General features: G+C 45.9%; 1 protein-coding gene across 1 annotated transcript in view, besides 3 other annotated features; it reads right to left on the bottom strand.

Moving 5' to 3' along the window:
- Positions 1-21,218, bottom strand: part of EP400 (E1A binding protein p400) — a 130,519-nt gene extending 109,301 nt beyond the window's left edge. Inside the window, exons 1-2 of the mRNA NM_015409.5 lie at positions 21,124-21,218; positions 9,206-10,575 (exon numbers count right to left, since the gene is read on the bottom strand). Of these exons, the coding sequence (NP_056224.3) occupies positions 9,206-10,540 (1,335 nt within the window). The 5' untranslated portion in view covers positions 10,541-10,575; positions 21,124-21,218. The remainder of the gene's footprint in view (positions 1-9,205; positions 10,576-21,123) is intronic.
- Positions 16,162-16,456: a silencer, noted in NCBI's record as "tiled region #13568; K562 Repressive DNase matched - State 14:Gen5'". NCBI's record gives its function as "represses a minimal TATA promoter and a strong SV40 promoter by Sharpr-MPRA in K562 cells {active_cell/tissue: K562}" and the evidence as "EXISTENCE:reporter gene assay evidence [ECO:0000049][PMID:27701403]".
- Positions 20,047-20,754: an enhancer, noted in NCBI's record as "H3K27ac-H3K4me1 hESC enhancer chr12:132434951-132435658 (GRCh37/hg19 assembly coordinates)". NCBI's record gives its function as "activates a minimal SCP1, AML or CMV promoter by ChIP-STARR-seq in primed H9 embryonic stem cells {active_cell/tissue: H9 hESC(primed)}" and the evidence as "EXISTENCE:reporter gene assay evidence [ECO:0000049][PMID:30033119]".
- Positions 20,807-21,506: a silencer, noted in NCBI's record as "silent region_5109". NCBI's record gives its function as "represses an Ori minimal core promoter by ATAC-STARR-seq in GM12878 lymphoblastoid cells {active_cell/tissue: GM12878}" and the evidence as "EXISTENCE:reporter gene assay evidence [ECO:0000049][PMID:35858748]".

The raw sequence follows: 21,565 nt of genomic DNA, 5'->3' as shown, positions 1-21,565 counted from the left end.
CAATCACAGCTCACTGCAGCCTCAACCTCCTGGGCTCAAGCGATCTTCCCGCCTCAGCCTTCTGAATGAATAGCTGGGACTACAGAACACATGCCACACCTGGCTAATTTTTTAATTTTTTTGTAGAGATGCTGTCCTATGTTGTGCAGGCTGGTCTTGAATACGCGGTCTCAAGTGACCCTACAGCCTCGGCCTCTCCAAGTGCTGGGACTGCAGGTGTGAGCCAAAGCGCCCAGCCTGTAATTAATAATATTGCACTGTATACTTGGAACTTGCTGAAAGAGTAGATCTTAGCCATTCTCACCAAACAAAACAAAACAAGGGTAACTGTTAATTAATTTGATTGCGGTAATCACCTCACTATCCTTATACCAAATCGCTTTGTACACTTTATAAAATTTTATTTGCCAATTATATCTCAATAAAGCAAAAACCAAAAGAAAAAAAAGTTTCCTCACAGTGTCACCACCTGTGGGTGTGTGTCTAAACCCTCTCAGCTTTGCTTACACCTGCGCATCAATGTGCACGATGGCAGGGCTCTCTGCTTTGCACTGGGTGCTCTATTAGTACTCCTCTAGGACACAGCCCATCCATTCTGTGGCCAATGGACAATCTGGTTCTTTCCAATTTGGGGCTGCCAAAAACAATGCTGCGAGGAACATTACTGCACATGTGTCCTGGTGCACAAACACAAGAGTCTCTCTAGAGCATCGTGCTGGGTCAGAGTATGCTCTCTGCTCACCTTTTCCAGATGATGCAAAACGTTTCCAAATAACTAGACCAAGCTCCACTCTCATCAAAAGCAGATGAGAATCCTACAGCTCTACATCAACGGATTCTCTCCAGTTTAACTTCTGGCAATCTGGTGCATGGAACAGGAATTCTGAGCAGTTTAATTTGTACTGTAAACACTGCATCTCTTTTTCGTGTTGATAGGCACTCCTGGCCTATTGTCCTACTGTTCTAATGCAGATACTTATCAGTGTGGTCTATAAATGCATTAATATATTCTATTCCTCCAGGCATTAGCAGTAAAGATGTCCCACTAACAAATTTTCTGATAATCTCCAACTTAAGAGTTATCTTCTTTTTCTTGGCGGGGCGGAGGCGGTGGAGACAGAGTTTTGCTCTGTCACCCAAGGGAGTGCAGTGGCACCATCTTGGCTCACTGCAACCTCTGCCTCCCGAGTTCAAGCAATTCTTGTGCCTCAGCTTCCTGAGTAGTTGGGACTACAGACGCACATCACCACACCCAGCTCATTTTTTTGTGTTTTTTAGTACACTGTTTCACCATGTTGGCCAGGATGGTCTCTTACTCCTGACTTCAGGTGATCTGCCCGCCTCTGCCTCCCAAAGTGCTGGGATTACAGGCGTGAGCCACCGTGCCCGACCAAGAGTTATCTTCAATTGTATAAAACCCATTACAATGAGTATCTAAATAGCAGAATCAAATTACTATTCCCCACCGAAAGGAACCAGGCTCTTTGTCGAAATGGCTGATTCCGGGGCTGGATCAAAGAATATATATATATATACAAGGTGCACTTTCAACAGTTTGTGCCAGAAAAGAAGGAAGTCCTCCGGAAGTAAGAGAGGTATGTCGGAAGTATACTACAGCCAGCTTGAAGAGGCTCCAATTGGCCAATCACAGATAACCTGAGCATCAAAATAAATAATAACAGAACCACCAGGAGGGGGGCTGGGCAGTAAATGACTGGCAAGGAGCATCAGGCAACTTCATGGAGTGATAGAAATGGACATGTTGACCATTGTATGGGTTACATGGGTGTATGTACTTGTCAAAACTCTGCAAACTGTTAACACTGAAGATCTGTGTGTTCTGTTTTTAAAGTATGCCTCAATTTAATATAATTTACCATTTTTACAGACTAAAGAAGAAAAACCACATATCACTGTCAATAGATGTATTTGACAAAATTCAACATCAATTCATGATATACTAGGAGTAAAAGGGAATTTTATTACCTTGATAAAGAACATCTGCAAAATCTACAGTTAACATCTTACTTAAAGGTGGAAGACTAACTGCCTTCCCCCTAGATCAGGAAGGAGATCATACTGGGTGCCCTTGCCAATACGATAAAAAAAAAAAAGAAAAGTAAAGAAATAAAAAGCATACAGATTGAAAAAGAAAAAAAATCCTGCTCTATTTGCAGACATGATTCTCTATGTAGAGAATCCCATGGAATCTACAAAAAAGCTCCTAAAACTAATAAATGAGTTTAGCAAGGTTGCAGAATGTAGGTTCAAATAATCAACTGTATACCTATATACTTACAATAAACAGCTGGAAATTTTTTTAAGTACTACTTATAATACCCCCCAAAATTGGAATACTGAGGTATAAACCTAAGAAAATATATGGTATGCTGAAAGTTACAAAATGTTGATGAAAGAAATCAAAGAATACTGAAATAAATGGAGAGATACACCATATTCATGGACTGGAAGACTCATATTGTTAAGATATCACTCCTCCCTAAACAGGTCAATGGACGCAACACAATTCTAATCAAAATCCCAGCAAGATGTTTTGTAGATATCAACAAGCTCATTCTAAAATGTATACAAAAAGGGAAAGGAACCAGAATGACCAAAATAATTTTGAAAAAGGAGAACAAACTTGGAGAACTCACACTACTTGACTTCAAAACTTACATAAAGCTATAGTAATCACAATAGTGTGACACTGGCAGAGAAAAACACATAAAGAGACGGGAAGAGAAGAGAATCCAGAAACAGAACCATAAAAGTATCAACTCATCTTTGGCAAAGGTGCAAGTCAACTCAACATACATAGATCGTCTGTTCAAGAAATGGCATGGAACAACTGAACATTCACATGCAAATTTCTTATATTTGCCATGTTACACAAAATTTTACGCAAAATAAATCATAGATCTAAAAGTAAAACTATAAAACTTCTACGAGACAACACAGAAGAACATCTTTCTGACCCTGGATTGAGCAGAGCTCTTAGATATGGCATCAAAAGCAAATCCATAAAAGAAAAAAACGATAAATTGTACTTCCACAAAATTTAAAACTTTTGTTCTGAAAAAGATAGTCTTAAGAGAAGAAAAAAACAAGCCAAAGACAGGAAAAAATACTTGCAAAACATGTAGCTGACAAAAAACATGTCCATATTATGTGAAGAATTTTCAAATGCAGTAATAACTCTGAAAAAATGGGTGAGACATGAACAGATACTTTGTCAAAGATATACGAACAGCAAATGAAAAAATGCTCAACTTTATTAGTCTTCAGAGACATCCAAATTAAAATAAACTAGACCTGGAATGATTAAAAAAGAAAACTGACAATAACAAGTACTAGAGAAGAAGCAAAACGAAGAGAACTATCATACATTGCTACTGGGAACACAAAATGGTACAGGCACTTTGAGAAAGTTTGGAAGTTTCTTTGAATCTTTTTTTTTTTTTCTTTTTGAGACAGAGTCTCACTCTGTCGCCCAGGCTAGAGTGCAGTGGTGCCATCTTGGCTCACTGCAACCTCCGCCTCCCAGGTTCAAGAGATTTTCCTGCCTCAGACTCCCAAGTAGCTGGGACTACAGCGGCACGCCACTACGCCTGGCTAATTTTTTTTTTTTTTAAGTAGAGATGGGGTTTCACTATGTTGGTCAGGCTGGTCTCGAACTCCTGGCCTCAACTGATCTGCCAGCCTCGGCCTCCCAAAGTGCTGGGATTACAGGCATGAGCCACTGTGCCCAGCCTTTTTATTTATTTATTTATTTTTTTGAGTCAGAGTCTTGCTCTGTCACCCAGGCTGGAGTGCAGTGGCATGATCTCAGCTCACTGCAACCTCCATCTCCTGGGTTCAAGCAATTCTCCTACCTCAGCCTCCCGAGTAGTTGGGATTACAGGCGCCCACTACCACGCCCAGCTGATTTTTGCATTTTTAGTAGAGACGGGGTTTCACTACGTTGGCCAGGCTGGTCTCGAACTCCTGACCTCAAGTGATCCGCCCCCCTTCGGCCTCCCAAAGTGCTGGAATTACAGGCATGAGCCACCGCACCTAGCCACCTTTTTATTTTTTTGAGACAGGGTCTCACTATGTGGCCCTGTGGCCCAGGATGGAGTGCACTGGCATGTCCACGACTCACTGCACCCTCGAACTCCAGGACTCAAGCAATCCTTCCACCTCAGCCTCCAAGTAGCTGGGACTACTACAGGTGTGTATCACTACACATAGGTTTTTTTTTTTTTTTTTTTTTTGAGACAAGTCTCACTCTTGTCACCCAGGCTGGAGTGCAATGGGGTGAACTCGGCTCACTGTAACCTCCACCTCCCAAGTTCAAGTGATTCTCCTGCCTCAGCCTCCCAAGTAGCTGGGATTACAGGTGCCCGCCACCATGCCCGGCTAATTGTGGTATTTTTAGTAGAGATGGAGTTTCACCATGTTGGCCAGGCTGGTCTCAAACTCCTGACCTCAGGTGATCTGCCTGCCTCAGCCTCCGAAAGTGCTGGGATTACAGGCATGAGCTACCACGCCCGGCCTAATTTTTTAATTTTTAGTAGAGACAGGGTGGTCTTTTTTTTTTTTTTTTTTTTTTTTTGAGGTAGGGTATCACTCTGTGGCCCAGGCTGGTGTGCAGTGGCGCTGTCTCAGCTCATTGCAACCTCCGCCTCCTGGGTTCAAGCAATTCTCGTGCCTCCTGAGAAGCTGGAATTACAGGCGTGTGCCACCATGCCCAGCTGATTTTTGCAATTTTAGCAGAGACAGGGTTTCACCACGTTGGCCAAGCTGGTCTCTACTGACCTCAGGTAATCCACCCATGTAGGCCTCCCAAAGTGCTGGGACTACAGGCATGAGCCATCATGCCTAGTCCAGGCTGGTCTTAAATTCCCAGCCTCAAGTGATCCTCCACCTTGGCCTCCCAAAGTGCTGGGATTTCAGGCGTGAACCACAGTGCCTGGCCCAGGTTGGTCTTAAATTTCTGGCCTCAAGCAATCCTCCCGCCTCAGCATCCCAAAGTGCTGGGATTACAGGTGTGTGCCACTGCACCCGGCCGGACGGGTTCTTAATAAAGTTCAACATACCCAGAAATCTGATTCCTAGTTTTTCTTTTTTTTTTTTTTTGAAATCAGCCAGCCAGCCACCCAAACCAGAATACTTTCAGAGAGACTCTTTGACTCCTAGGCATTTATCCAAATGAAATGAATACCTATGTTGACATGAAAAACTGTATGTGAACATTTGTAGCAGCTTTATTCCCAAATTCTGAAAACTGGAAACAACCCAAATATTCTTTAAAGGGTAAATGGATAAACAAACTGGGGCACATTCACACAATGGAATAGCACTCAGCAATAAAAAGAACAAATTAATGGTAAATAAAACAAAGTAGATGAATCTGAAATGCATTATCTTAAGTGAAAGAAGCCAGACTGAAAAGCAACCCAGACTAGGATTCCATAGATATTCATTCTGGAAAAGGCAAAATCATTAGCGATGGAGAACAAAGGTCAAGGGAGGCGTGAAGGGTTGATGAGGGAACATTTTGGGAGGTGATGGAGCTTCTGTTGCTTGACTGTGGTGGTGGTTACACAACTCAATGGATTCGTCAAAATTCACAAGTACAGACTAAAAAACAGTGCATTTTACTGAATGTACATTAAATAAGTTTAAACAAACATAAGCAAATAAATACTGATAGTGATATATTACAGCCTACTGATTCTAATAAATGTAGACAGAATGATGGAGTTAGAAAACCCAGCATGGATTCTTTATAGTAATAACTGATTCAGGCAAGACTCACCAACAGATGCTAGAACTAGTGGGTAAAAGTTTAAGGAGATTCAGGATATTTACATAGTCTCAAAGTATCTTCCCCCAAATTACTCATCATTTAAAAAAGGAAAAATAAATAAATTTCCACTGGACAGGCCTGGTAGAAACCACCTTAACGAAGTGGTCAGAGTTAACATTACTAGTTATAGGACAAAGTGACATCACACCCTTCTGATAAGACACATTGAAACGGACATATCATTACTTCTATAGCAATCTTCTCAAAAATACATGATCCAAAGAGGACACAAGAAAACATCAGACAATCCCACATCAAAGGACACTGTACAAAATAATTGGTCTGTACTTTTTAACGCCCAGGCCCAGGCCAAAGCCAAGGTCATGAAAGACTAAGAAACCAACCCAGATTAAAAAGGCCAGAGAGGCATGACAACTTGATACTGGACTAGGGGGAAAGAAACACTATGAAGGACATCCTTGAGACAAGAGATGAAATTTGAATATAAACTATGGATTAGAATGTATTATTGTACTACTGTACAATTTCCTGATATTTATCACTGTACTGTGATTAGGTAAGGAAACATTCTTATCTAATACATGCTGAAGTATTTACAGATAAAAGAATAGGATATGATGTTTTAGATATGTGTATATATATGAGAATGAAAATAATGCAAATGGGGCAAAAACAACTGATAAATTTGGTAAAGGATATAAGGGGTTTTTAAAATAATTAATTGCAACTATTATGTACATTTGAAATTAAATCAAAATTTAAAGTAACAACAAAAATCCCAAGGATGAAACTGCTTTCACAACCCAACACTATCTATTCCAAAGCTAGTAGAAATTTGATGGTTTGTTTGGTTTTTGTTTGTTTGTTTGTTTGTTTTTGAGACGGAGTCCTGCTCTACTGCCCAGGCTGGAGTGCAGTGACACAATCTCGGCTCACTGCAACCTCCGCCTCCCAGGTTCAAGCAATTCTCCTGCCTCAGCCTCCTGAGTAGCCGGGATTATAGGCATGCACCACCATGCCCAGCTAATTTTCATAGTTTTAGTAGGGACAGCATTTCACCCTGTTGGCTAGGCTGGTCTCGAATTCCTGACCTCAGGTGATCCATGCACCTCAGTCTCCCAAAGTGCTGGGATTACAGGCGTGAGTGACCTGTGTTTTTAAATTATTGGCATTACTAATTTAACACTGAGTGAATTTGCAAAAAATTAAAAATAATCAGTTTGCATTCACTTAATATCCGTTTAGAAGCCTGTGGTCCTGATGATTTCAGAAGTGTATTTCACTTCAGCATTTCCTCTAGCTATGGAAAATACCAATTTATCATCTACTTGAATCTTTTTTTTCTTATTCTGTTTTGCACTGTTCTCAAAATAAAGGACACAAGAAAGAACCAACATTGAAAACACAGCACACAAGGAATCCTGAGCATACATTCAACAGGACTATTAGATGACATGCATGCTAAAGCTACTACCGCATTACAAGTATACGAAAGAAAGTAATGCACTAAGATCTGTGTCATCATTAACTCATGCAATTTAATTTTATAATTGTATACGCAGGAAGATTTTTTACTGTTGAAAAATAAGAAATGGGCTCTGGAAAAAAAATGCTGAAGAGCAAGTAGTATATCGAAGGTTAAAATATCTGGATGAAGGAAAAGTTTGGGATGAGACTACATTTGAGAACCATCGAAAAGTACCTGAAATGGTTGCTGCTGGGATGAAAAAGCAGCAGAAACCTTTGGCGGAAGCTGGGTTGCTATAGCAACGGGAGTCCCAGTCTGCCCATCCTTTCCTGTCACAACCTTTACCTGAGAGGAAATATTTTGAGAAAAAAAGGCAACATAATTTTTACAACTGCTCAAAATTTTGTTAGAATTTTATTGCTGATAGCTCACTGACATTTGGGGTTTAAAAATGGAATGTTTTTGCATCAATTCCTGTGAAAGGATACTGAACTGACAGATTTATAGCACAACAACCTAACTCAAACTGCAAACCTTGCAGAAACTCCAATTTAAGTCAAAGTGCAATATCTTTAGATTCTGCAACTTCAAACTTTAAAAATGCATATGGCAGACAGACTTCAAGTAACAAAGCCCTACCAACTCCCTAGGAAATTTGCAGAATAGCCACTCTGTTATATGTAGGGTCAGAATGGCAAAGGTCTTTTTCAGCAGGAAGTTGGAAAAACGAATTTGTTTTTCTTTCTAAGCACAGGTAAGGGGGATTGAGCTTACAGACAACATTGGTATACAAACGTAACAGAAATGAATTTTACTATTTCAGGACAATAGAGGTGAAATCCTCAAAATAATCATATAAACCTGTTGAAAAACAAATATGGTCCATCCTGGAAAAGGTGTTAAAAGAAAACACAAAATGGCAAAGCCACACAAATACATCCATAGATACCAGTAAGGACTGCTTGAGCAAAGAGACTAGCTTTTGTTCAGCAAAAGCAGATTTCTTTGCAGAAGAGCTGACAAAGATTTAAATTATTTTAACTGTATCATAAAACAAAATAAGCTCCACCAACATAGTATACACTACACAACACAAAGGCACAAAATACAGTGTGTCACAGTCCAATTCACTCTCACCCTGGTTTTCAGGAAGTCTCAGACTCACCATGGTACTAAGAAATCTCAGGTAGGGGGTTTATTATGTGCCATTCCAGGCACCCAAAAAGTATACTCTCTAAAAAAGAGTCACTCTTAAATATCACTTAATAGGTATTTGTAAAAATGAGTTTAAAGTATGATCTCAAATCTTGAGACTACATCTAAAAATTGAATAACTTCTCAAACAGTTTTTTGCCATAATAACTATTTTAATGATGAAGGTCCCATATACATACATCTAGTGACTTATGGCTGGTTATTATAAAAAGCTAGTGACTTAAATCTGTTTGAAAACCATGCTGATGGTGTTTTTAAGGAGATCTATACGAGTAAAATGTGAAACTTGGAAAACCAGACAAAGGGTGCTGGGCTTTCACACGTTTGGCTGGTGACAGCTGTCAGCGTCAGCCAACAAACCACACACCCAGATACAAGGGGAAAAAAACTGGACACGCTTGCTGAGTTCTCTGAACCTGAGATGAATCCTTGGTGCTCAATGAAAACACTGGGTGTTGAAGACGCACTCATCATAGCGCAGCTCCGTCCCTTCCTCCTGACACACTTCTGCGCTCAACAGCTCTTCCTTCCCATGAAGGAGGCCAAACACATTCTTCACTTTTACTTATGGGTCAAATCCTTGCCCCAACACCTTAGAAATACCTTAGAAATACCGCAGGCTCAATAAATTATTACTTAATTCATTGTCGCATAGACTCTGATCATCTAGAAGATTTGTACTAAACAAATTAACTCCTGTTTCTTACCTCGTCATTGATAACCTCAGATTTTTCTTCCTCCTCTTCCTCCTCCTCCTCCTCTTCTTCAATGTCCAAATCATTCTGCCTAAGATATGCTTGTAATGGGGCATAATGTTTCTTCTTGAAAGCTAAGAAATCCATCATGTTCCCTTGAAAGTGTTGCAAGAAAAACAGTTCAATCAAATACTCCTTGAAGACCTCCTTCAGAGCCTGCATCTCCTGGTAATGATAGTCCAGGCACTGCTTCCTCATCTGTGCCATCTCCGGAGAGGCTGGGGGAATCTCCTCTAACTTCTTGGGAACCTTCTTCATTCCCGTGTTCCCCACAGACGTGAGTGGGAGGCTGGAAAGGCCTGGGGGCACGGCAGTCCTGGAAGGGCTGGTGGGCGGGGGTGGGGACGTCATCCCAAACCCCGCTGCGCCCCCAGCCCCGGGGAGCAGCACGCCGGGTGTCCTCTCGAAGCCCAGGGGCCGGGGCAGCGGCGGCCCCTGCAGCACCTGCTGCTGCTGAACCAGCTGGCCCTGGATGATGCTGCTGATCTGCGGTGGCAAGTTAGCCGTGGTGATGTGGCTTGGGCTGGCCAGGGGCTGCAGGCCGGCCCCACCCGCGGCTGCAGGGCTCTGGGGTCCCAGGTGGTGGATGGTGCCCCCTGACTGTGTGTGGGGCTGGGAGGGTCTCCGCTCTCGGACTGTGATGGGCGTACCCGGGTGCTGGAGCTGAACCTGGGCTCCCTGGGCGATCTGGGTGAGCCCTGACCCATCCTGAAACACAAAGTGTCCACCACTGGAGGGGCTCAAGCTGATCTGCCTCACCAGCACGCTGGCATCCACGAAGCCCCCTGTAGGGCTGCTGCTGCAGAGGCCCAGCCCAGGGCCAGGGGCACCTGCACGCACATTCTGCAAGGCCTGCCCCGGCCCCGGACTGGGCTGCGTGGGACTCTGGGTCTGGACCTGCTGGGACAAGGGGGACGTGACCTGAATGTATGATGGAGACCCATGCTCAAACCGCCGAGGCTGAGCGCTGAACTGGAAGCCTGGAGAGGTGGGGCTGGGGAGCGGCAGTGGGGCCAGTGTGATCTGCTGGTTTCCCCCGACGACAGGGCCCACGCTCTGCAGGGTGATGTTCACGTTCTGCCCGGTTGCAGGGCTCCTATTCATCAGCTGCTGTATTTGATAACTGGGAGACTGGGGTGCCGACGGGCTTGCTGAGGGAGCGAAGGGAGCTGCGGGGGACGGGGGTGGGTTGGGGTGGGCCGGCTGCTCCTCACCCTCGCTGCCAGGGCAGGCCCTGGACCTCTGCAGCTGATGCTGGACGTTCTGGGGGCCAGTGCCATGGTGCATGATCACCTCCCTTCTGTATCCAATGTGTCGTTCTCCTAAAAATTAAAATTAAAATCAAGTCACTTGAAGGCACACATAACTGTTTTATTGACACTTAACAGCACTGAAAAGACACTTTGAAAGTACATTCCCACCGCATCTGATTCAAACGACAGAGCTGACTCACATTCAATATGGCACAGCTGGAGAAATGTGTCCTCAGTCACTGCTGTGCCCAGGGTGGGCCACACGGGAGTGGGTGGGTAATCTAAACCACCTACTGAGGGAGGAACATACCGATCATCGCTGACCTCAACAGCTAACTTGTGTGGGCGCTTGGAGAGACCAGGCCATCCCTCAAATCCTCATGGCCGCCCTGTGGGGTAGGTACTACTCACACCCCATTTGAAGGACTAGGAGACTGAGCTACAGGAGTATCTGTGAGCTGTTCAAGGCCACGCAGCCAGCAGGCAGAAGAGCAAGGTCTGAAGCCAACATTCACGCTGTGGACTTTCCGGCTTCCGCCCGTCTCTCCCTATGGAGGGACAACTCCCTGCTCCCAGCTGCCCAGAGCCCAGGAGGCATTCTGTGACCCTTGCTGAATGAGGGTGTGCAGCACCACCTCGCCAGAAGCAAATACCCAGCCCTCCCCAGCCAGTAGTTCTTATCAACCTCCAGGACTACCTCAACTGCAAACTCTCCTCTTGTAAATCCAATTCAAAGACACAGAGCCCCATTTGTGTGTCAGGCCCGGGGCTACTGCAGGAGAGTAGAGACAGACACGGGTAAGACAGTCCTTGCCCTGGGGAGGCTGCCAGCCTGTGCCAGGAGCTAGGAGAAAACATGACACCAAGTCCTGGAGTGGAAGGTAGGGAACAGCCTCAGATCTCAACATTCTCCCTAAGAACACACGAAGAGAAGAAACTGTGAGAAGGTCTCAAGGGAGAGAGAAGGAGATGGCCAGGACCTGGCTCTCACTCTGGGGTGAGTTGCCTTTCTGGCTTTGCAAACTCTCTGGGAGGCTGTACCACAATCTCAAAGGAGCTGTAACCCAAACGCTGCTGAGCACAAGTGGATGAGAAACAGCAGGGGAGGAGCAGAAGGGGCCACTGAGGAAAGTCAGGTTTCAGGACAGGATGAAGCAGAGGATGGAGCAGACAAGGGTAATCCTGTGGTGAGACAGGGTCAGACCTGGGCTACAGACTCCAGTATCTACAGGGGAAAGGAGGACTAAAGATAAGCAGTGAGCCCCACCACTGCAGCCCCGTCTGTTCCCCACTGTGGTCGCTCTTTCTCCCCTAAGAGAAGCAAGGGTGCAAACGCAATGGTGAGTGGCACCTGGCACCCAAATCAGTGCCAGCGTTCCAAGAGGAGAGGTTGGACACTGTCCCACATCAAGGGGGCAGCTGCTGCTTCAATCTATTTAATAGCTAACTTCTGTCATAAAGGAGCAAAAATCTCATTCAAGTTTTCAAGGGAAGCAGATGGACTCTTGGTGGCACAGTTTAGCACTGAGCCAGTGGGTGAGGAGCCACACCACTCCGCAATGTTCCAGTTCACACTTAGGCCTGCCACAGAAGCCAGCTTGACCTGGGTGCCACCATTCAGACTTCTCCAGTCCTGCTGGACACACCCAGGTGCCCCTGTCTTCTTGAGGTGCCTTCACCTCAACCCTGGCTGGACAGCTATCAGGGAGCTTCTTCTTGCTTACTCCAAGACAAACAAGACCCCTTGTTCATCGCAAGGACATCACTGCTTATCTCTGTGAGAAAATGGACAACGGATTTTTAAAAACCATGAATCTACAGAAGATAAAAAATGGCCAGGCATGGTGGCTCACACCTGTAATGCCAGCACCTGGGGAGGCTGAGACAGGAGGATCACTTGAGGTCAGGTGTACAAGACCAGCCTAGGCAACATAGTGAGACCCCATCTCTACAAGAAAAATACAAAAATTAGCCAGCCATGGTGGCAATGTAGCAGCCTTAGTCTCAGCTACTCAGGAGGCCAAAGGAGACCGCCTGAGCCCAGGAAATCGATGCTGCAATGAAGAACAAGATTCCATCTCCAAAAAAAGAAGTTACAAAACGTATAAGGCTCTTCTAAGTCTTGGGTACCTGGCTGAAATACATGTATATATGAAATCAAAGACTACAGAATTTATAAATGCACAAGCATATTCCTAACAAACATTTAAAAAGTGCATATTTAAACTAGCAGCAGAAAGGCATGCTTTGATCAGATGGTTAGTTTCTGAAGATGGAGTCAGAAGACAGCACGCAGGCTGCAACAAACAGATCTTAAGGGAAGAGCAAGGCCACAGAGACACCCAAGAGCATGCCCCTCCCACCACCCGGCAGAGAGCCCATCAGAGTGGGTGCAGGGGACAGGAGCTCCAGGTGGGGGCAGTTAACAATGCTTATTACTTTCAAAACAAGCTTCTGTTCCTGATCTTACTAAACAAACATTATGATAGGAGATTAGTGTGAAACTGGCACAAAAGCTAAATTAACATAGGTAGAGTATATTCGGGATTATTTCCTTACAATACATTCCCAGAGTGTCAAAGGAGATCAGTAAGAGAAAATGAGGGCTAGAAAGAAACTCTCTCACATATAGTAATTCAGAAAACCAGGGGAAAGGTAAGGGTTAGGAATTTTAAAGTTATGTCATAAAAACAAATTAATGCATTGAGAAATTCAACTTAAACTCTCATCACAAACCATACATCAAAATAAATTACATGGTGGGGTCTGGTGGCTCATGCCTGTAATCCCAGCACTTTGGGAGGCCAAGATAGGCGGATCACTGGAGGTCAGGAGTTCGACACCAGCCTAACCAACATGGTGAAACCCCATTTCTACTAAAAATACAAAAATTAGCTGGGCGTGGTAGCACACGTCTGTAATCCCAGCTACTTGGGAGGCTGAGGCAGAAGAATCGCTTGAACCTGAGAGGCGGAGGTTGCAGTGAGCCGAGACTGAGCCATTGCACTCCAGCCTGGGCAACAAAACCAAAACTGTCTCAAACAAGCAAATAAATAAATAAATAAATAAATAAAGCATTTTTATAAGCTAACTTTCCAAGTTTTACATTTAATGTAAAAAAAAAAAAAGAAAGAAAGAAAAATCAAAACGTTCCTTCTGGTAGGTGACAGGAAAAAAAAAAAACCAAAACATTAAAAAACCGAACACAAAAGTGAGTATTTACTAAATCTCTGAAGGAAATTCAATTTCCTAACCTTAAAAATAATAAAGTTGTAACTGAAAAAATAGAAAGATTTGAAGATAATTTTTAAATGTTTAAAACTCAAAAAGTAAATCATCAAAATCTAAAACCAAATTATCTTGGAAAGAATATTTGAACTAGGTACGACAAAAAGCTATTACCAATACCATAAAAAGCACTCATACAAATCGGTAAGAAAAACATTAAAATCCCAGTAGAAAAATTAATTAAAGACAAAAAGAGGCTGGGCATAGTGGCTCATGCCTGTAATCCCAGCACTTTGGGAGGCTGAGGTGGGTGGATCACCTGAGGTCAGGACTTTGAGACCAGCCTGACCAATATGGTAAAACCCTGTCTCTATTAAATACAAAAAATTAGCCGGGCGTGGTGGCACATGCCTGTAATCCCAGCTACTTGGGAGGCTGAGGCAGGAGAATTGCTTGAACCCAGGAGGTGGAGGTTGCAGTGAGCCAAGGGCTTGCCACTGCACTCCAGCCTGGGCAAAGGAGTGAGACTCCTAAAAAAAAAAAAAAAAAAAAGGACAAAAAAAGACAGTTCACAAAAGGAGAAAAGCATGTACTTAACCAGCTTAGAGGAAAATGACCAACCTTGCTACTAAAAAGAGGAATACAGACTAAAATAAATATTTCCCTAGATCCACTTAGCCAAGACATTAAATCAGACAACTGGCACTCCACTAATCCTGCTAAAGGGAATTACAGAAGCAATTTGGGAAGGTGTAGAAAAGATTTCAAATGGGTTCAGAACCCAAAAAACGCCCTGTAGGAGTAGACTGCATACAGCAGTAGGAAAGTGGAATGAACCCATGTGACCCCAAAACCTTTGGCCTAGTAACCCTACTTCTAGAAATCTACCCGAAGGAAATTAACCTACCAACCTAAAAAACTGTACATAAACAATACTCACTGTAGAATAACAAAAAAAATTAAAAAGCATAATCAGAAATTTCCAATGTTGAAGTTCTAGATGGAAAATAAGTAATAAAACCAAAATTTCCAGATACATTAAGTGAAAAAAGCAGGTTACCAATTGCATAACACAATCACTAAGTTAAACATACAGAAAAGGACCCACTGAAACGTATCAGAATATTAAAACTGACCTTCCCCTGATGAGCAGACACATCAAACCATGATACAGCCATACAACAGACACAACCCAGCAACGCCAAGGAACAAACCACTGACACACCCACAACACAGTTGAGTCTCAGGTGCAAGATGCCAAGTAACAGAGGCCGAGGGCTGCGTGGGTCACTGGCATGACATTCCGGACAAGGAGAATGGTGGGGACAGAGACTAGAACAGAACCTGACAGGGGCTGAAGGCGGAGATGGAGCTGACTAGAGAGATGCATGAGGAAATGGGGAAGTAAAGAACCGTAGCTACAGCTTGATTTGTGATAATGGTTACAAGATGGAATGTGTCTCTCAAAAGTACACAGATGGGCTGGGTGCAGTGACTCATGCCTGTAATCCCAGCACTTTGGGAGGCCGAGGCGGGCGGATCACCTGAGGTCAGGAGTTCGAGAACAGCCTGGCCAACATGGTGAAACCCCCGTCTCTACTAAAAATACAAAAATTAGCTGGGCATGGTTGCATGTTCCTGTAATCACAGCTACTCGGGAGGCTGAGGAAGAAGAATCCCTTGAACCTGGGAGGTGGAGGATGCAATGAGCCAAGATCACACCACTACACTCCAGCCTGGGCAACAGAGCGAGATTCTGTCTCAAAAAAACAAAAAGTACACAGATGGCAACATTAAATGGACTAAGAAAAAAAATTCAACCATACACTAAAAAGCATAAACTTGGATGAGCACGCTGGCTCACGCCCGTAATCCCAACACTTTGGGAGGCTGAGGCGGGTGGATCACCTGAGGTCCGGAGTTCAAGACCAGCCTGACCAACGTGGAGAAACCCCATCCCTACCAATAATACAAAATTAGCCGGGCATGGTGGTGCGCACCTGTAATCCCAGCTACTCGGGAGGCTGAGGCAAGAGAATTGCTTGAACCCAGGAGGCGGAGGTTGCAGTAAGCCAAGATCACACCATTGCACTCCAGCTTGGGCAACAAGAGCGAAACTCCGTCTCAAAAAAAAAGCATAAACTTTTACCATATGTAAATTATACTTCAATTTTATTAAATGGTTCCTGACCTCAGTGATGTTATAGCCACATTAGAGAAACAAAGACAATCAACTATAATGCAAAGAAACTGTTTATCTAAAATAACACTTCTCAAAAACATAGTACAGGTATCCTAATGGATAGCAAAGCTACCAATGGTGGCTAAACAACTTTAAAAATTTTTAACGACTAAGTTTCTAATTTTAACTCAATTTTTACTCCTAATTTTTTCTCTTTTTTTGACATAAGGTCTCACTCTGTCACCCAGGCTGCAGTATAGTGGCACAATCCTGGCCCACTGTAACCTCTGCCTTCCAGGTTCAAGCAAACCTCCCACTTCAGCCTCCTGAGTAGCTGGGACTTACACGCCACCACAGCCAGCTAATTTTTGTATTTTTTGTACAGACGAGGTTTCACCATGTTGCCTATGCTAGTCTTAAACTCCTGGCCACAAGCAATCCTCCCACCTCAGCCTCCCAAATAGCTGGGACTATAGGCACACACCACCACGCCCATTTTTTTTTTTTTTTTTTTTTTCTGAGATGGAGTCTCACTCTATCACCCAGGCTGGAGTGCACTGGCGTGATTTCGGCTCACTGCGCCCTCCGCCTCCCGGGTTCAAGCGATTCTCCTGCCTCAGCCTCCTGAGTAGCTGGGATTACAGGCGTACACCACCACGCCCGGCCAATTTTTGTATTTTTAATAGAGACAGGGTTTCACTATGTTGGCCAGACTGGTCTCCAACTCCTAACCTCAAGTGATCCACCTGTTTCGACCTCCCAAAGTGCTGGGATTACAGGCACGAGCCACTGCGCCCAGCCAAATTTTTGTATTTTTTTGTATAGACAGGGTTTCAACATATTCCCCAGGCTGGTCTCGAACTACTGGGGCTCAAACAATTCTCCTGCCTTAATCTCCCAAAGTGCTGGGATTACAGGCATGAGCCACCACACCTGGCCTGGCCCCTAATTTTAATTCAACTCTCTACAGAGACGCTGACACACACACATTTTGAAATGTGTTGGTTTTTTTTTTTTTAATTTTAAGACAAATGGATAAAAAGGTATGATGAAGCAGGTATGGTAAAATGTTTAATGGAAACTAAGTGGCAGGTATACTAGTGTTCACCGTAAAATTTTCTCTTGTTTTTTAAGACAGAGTCTCACTCAGTCACCTAAACTCGAGTGCTGCGGCGCAATCTCAGCTCACTGCAACCTCTGTCTCCTGGGCTCAAGCGATTCTCATGCCTCAGCCTCCTGAGTAGCTGGGACTACAGGTGTGAGCCACCACAACCGGCTAATTTTTGTATTTTTAGTACAGACGGAGTTTCACCACGTTGGCCAGGGTGGTCTCAAACTCCTGATCTCATATGATCCACCTGCCTCAGCCTCCCAAAGTGCTTGGATTACAGGCGTGAGCCACCCCACCCAGCCAACCACAAAATTCTTTCAATCTCTGTGTATCTTTGAAATTTTTCATAATAAATGTTACAAAAAATACTTTCAATATAAGATGATAACACTAGATGTCACGTAACAAATTAAAAGCTACTAACCCAAGATCTATATGCTAACAAAACCTTCATTATTCTCCCACCAAAGGGCACATTACAGAAGTACCATACTAGTTCCTGAAATATATAAATTCCGAATGATACCAAGTGGGCTAAACTGAATTTGAAAATTGTCTAGGGCTTATCACACTGTATGTTACTACAGAGAACTGACCTGTCAGGGTGCTGTAATGGTGGATCAACAGGAAAGCCTCCCCTCAATGTCTCCAATGTCCCTTCCATTTAACAGGCTACAATTCCAAGGATTTTAAATCATGGAGGTAGTAGTGGGTCCTTAACCTTATGAACCAAAGCTCCTATACTAGAACAGGTGGGATCTATTTCAGCTTGTGAGAGAAGTTCAAGAAAAACTGAAGAAGTGCTTCATCAAACACCAAATAATAAGGTTATAAATCCCCAATCCATCATTCTACTGTTGTTTCTTGATCTTTATTTTTCCACGGCCCCGCTAAGGAACATCTGTATAAGTTTCTCTCCTAATTGCCTCCCCATGGAATTTTAATACTACAGCTGTACACAGATATACCACACTGTACATCTGTTCAGGAACTGGGATCTTCGGGAGGCCACAAATCACTGTAATGCCTAAGTTTTTTCACCCTTCTTCCAATAACTAATTTTCACTCCCTTGTTGGAGATATCGCCCTCACTGAGAATGCATGTTCTGATGTATGGAAAGAAACCCAGAAAAATGAATTCCAAATTTGGTAGCTGTGGGGAGCTGATGAATGGGGAGAAAGGGCAAAGGAACTCTTAACGAGCTCTATGTATTTCTGTGTTGTTTGGATATCTTTCAATGTGAACTGTTCATGTGTTACCCTTATTAAAAAAAAAGATGGAAAACAAAGAACTGGAAACAATCCAAATGGTCCATCAGCGGGCAACAGACAAACCGGTACGTTCACACCAAGGAGTACTCCTCAACAATAAAAAGAAACAGGCTGGGAACAGTGTCTCAAACCTGTAATTCCAACACGGTGGGAGACTGAGACCAGAGGATGTCTTGAGTCCAAGAATTCAAGACAAGCCTGGGCAACACAGTGAGATAGTGTCTCTACAAAAAATCAAAAATTAGCACGGCGTGGTGCCACACACCTATAGTCCCAGTTACCTGGGAGGAGATCACTTGAGCTCAAGAAGTCACAGCTGCAGTAAAGCTATGATCATGCCACTGCACTCCAGCCTGGGTGACAGAGCAAGACCCTGTCTCCACAACAAAAACAAAAACAAAAACAAGCTATTGGGGCCGGGCGCGGTGGCTCACACCTGTAATCCCAGCACTTTGGGAGGCCGAAGTGGGTGGATCACTGAGATCAGGAGTTTGAGACCAGCCTGGCCAACATGGTGAAACCCTATTTCTTTTTCTTTTTTTTTTTTTTTTTTTTTTTGAGACAGAGTCTCGCTCTGTCGCCCAGGCTGGAGTGCAGTGGCGCAATCTCCGCTCACTGCAAGCTCCGCCTCCCAGGTTCACCCCATTCTCCTGCCTCAGCCTCCCGAGTAGCTGGGACTACAGGCACCCACCACCACGCCCGATTAATTTTTTGTATTTTTAGTAGAGATGGGGGGTGAAACCCCATTTTTCTACTAAAAATACAAAAAAAAAGGCCAGGTGCAGTGGCTCACCATGCCTGTAATCCCAGCAAAGGGGAGGCCGAGGCGGGCAGATCACCTGAGGTCAGGAGTTCAAGACCAGCCTGGCCAACATGTTGAAACCCCCTCTCTACTAAAAATTAAAAAAAAAAAAAAAGTAGGCAGGTGTGGTGGCAGGCACCTGTAATCCCAGCTACTTGGGAAGCTGAGGCAAGAGAATCGCTTGAACCCGGGAGGCGGAGGTTGCAGTGAGCCGAGATCATGCCATTGCACTCCAGCCTGGGCAACAAGAACAAAACTCCGTCTCAAAACAAACAAACAATACAAAAAAATTAGCTGGGCATGATGGCAGGCACCTGTAATCCCAGCTACTCGGGATGCTGAGGCAGGAGAATCACTTGAGTCTGGCAGGCAGAGGTTGCAGTGAGCCGAGATCGCGCCACTGCACTCCAGCCTGGGAGACAGAGTGAGACTCTGTCTACAAAAAAACAATAAAAAGAATAATTACAGAAATTATTTTATTGCACATATTCTGCTAAAGAAAATGACAACACAAATAAGTAAAAAAGAATACAACTCATCCACGAACCCAGAGAGAAGCCCTATTAACACTTCCACGTGTCCCGGCGCGGTAGCTCACGCCTACAGTCCCAGCACTAGGAGGCCAAGGCGGTAGGATTGTTTGAGGTCAGGAGTTCGAGACCAGCCTGAGCAACACAGCAAGACCCCAACTCAAATAATAAAAAATTGGCCGGGCATGGTGGCTCATGCCTGTAATCCTAACACTTTGCGAGGGCGAGGTGGGCGGACTGCCTGAGCTCAGGAGTTCGAGACCAGCCTAGGCAACACAGTGAAACCCCGTCTCTACTAAAACACACAAAAAACTGGCCAGGCGCGGTGACTCATGCCTTCAGTCCCAGCACTTTGGGAGGCCAAGGGGGCGGATCACGAGGTCAGGAGTTCCAGACCAGCCGGACCAACATGATGAAACCCCGTCTCTACTAAAAATCCAAAAAAAAAAAAAAAAAAAAAAAATAGCCAGGCGTGGTGGCAGGCGCCTGTAGTCCCAGCTACTCGGGAGGCTGAGGCAGGAGAATCGCTTGAACCTGGGAGGCGGAGGTTGCAGTGAGCCGAGATCGCGCCACTGCACTCCAGCCTGGGTGACAGAGAGAGACTCTTTCTCAAAAGAAAATAACAAAACAAAATAAAAAGTGAGCCGGGCATGGTGGCCCAAGCCTTTGGTCCCAACCACTCGGGAGGTCGAGGCTCTAGTGAGCCGTCATCGCGCCACTGCACGCCAACCTGGGCAACAGAGCGAGACCCCGTCTCAGAAAGTAATTACTAATAAAGCACTGGGATACGTTACTTTTCTGTCACTGACACAGCGACAGCTGAGCAGAAGCCCGTGGGCCGCAGGTGTGTGACGAGAGGCGCCCCCGGGGAGGCAGCGGCAATTACTAAGGCTCCGCCGTGGAGGACCGGGCAGGTCTACGCCGAGAAGGAGCGGATTCGGACCTCACTGTAACCCCTGTGGCGGCGCGTTCCGGGACGCCCGGGACGCGGGGTCCTTAAGTTCTGAGTGAATTCGCCCCGTCGCGCCTCAGGAAAGTGGTTCTGGACGTCCCATCCCCGCATCTCAGCGTCGCGTCCGTGACCCCGAGGGAAGCCCACGCAAGCGCCAGGAGCAAGAGCCACCCCCTCAGCCCCGAGAACCAGGAGGCGCGGGCCGGAGTCCCCCGGTTCCCGCAACGCCGCCGCGCCGAGCTGCCCTCGGCCACGCCCCCAGCCCAGGAGCCCGGGGGGCCACGAGAAATGGGCGCGGATCGCGCGACCTGCGGGGGACGGGCGCTACGACTCGAAAGACCCGGGCCCGTGAGCCCTCAGCCCGGTCGCCCGCCCGGGGTCGCTCACGACAGCCGCCACGGCCTGGTCCCCACGCGACGCCCGAGGCCGGCCGGCGAGCGGGCCCTGTACGCCCGCGGCTGCGGCTACGCGACCCCGGACCCTGGACGCTGCCGTCCCGAGAGCCTCCCGCCCCCGTCCCGCGCCTCCGCCCTCACTTACCCTGGGCCTCAGGGCTGCGCTCCGGCCGCGTCAGGAGGGCGGGAGGATGGAAGCCGCGCCGCAGCCGCTCAGTGCATCCGGGGCCCCGGCGGGAGGAAGCGGCGGCGCGGCTGCTACGGCGAGCCGGAAGGGACGCGCGTCCGCGCGCCCGTAGCTGCGCTTCCGCGGCGCCGCTCTGACCGCGCGAGGGCGCCGGAGGTCGAGGGCGCCGGAGGACTAGGGCGCCGCGAGACTCTGCGGGGTGGGCGGGGGCCGAACCCAAGGCCGAGAGGGACGGAGGGGGGCCGGTCCCAGACAGACGGAGGCGGGGCCGGTCCGAGACAGACGGAGGCGGGGCGGGGCCGAGACTGAGGAAGGCGGGGGCGGGGCCGAGACTGACGGAGTCGCGGCAGCCCGGCTTTTCCACGCGCAGTTCGGGAAATGCGCCCACGTGGAACAGAAG

Source organism: Homo sapiens, chromosome 12, assembly GCF_000001405.40.
Source record: "Homo sapiens chromosome 12, GRCh38.p14 Primary Assembly".
NCBI classification, from domain to species: Eukaryota; Metazoa; Chordata; class Mammalia; order Primates; family Hominidae; genus Homo; species Homo sapiens.
Note: the sequence above shows the minus strand (reverse complement) of the source record. Positions and strands in the feature narration are given on the sequence as shown.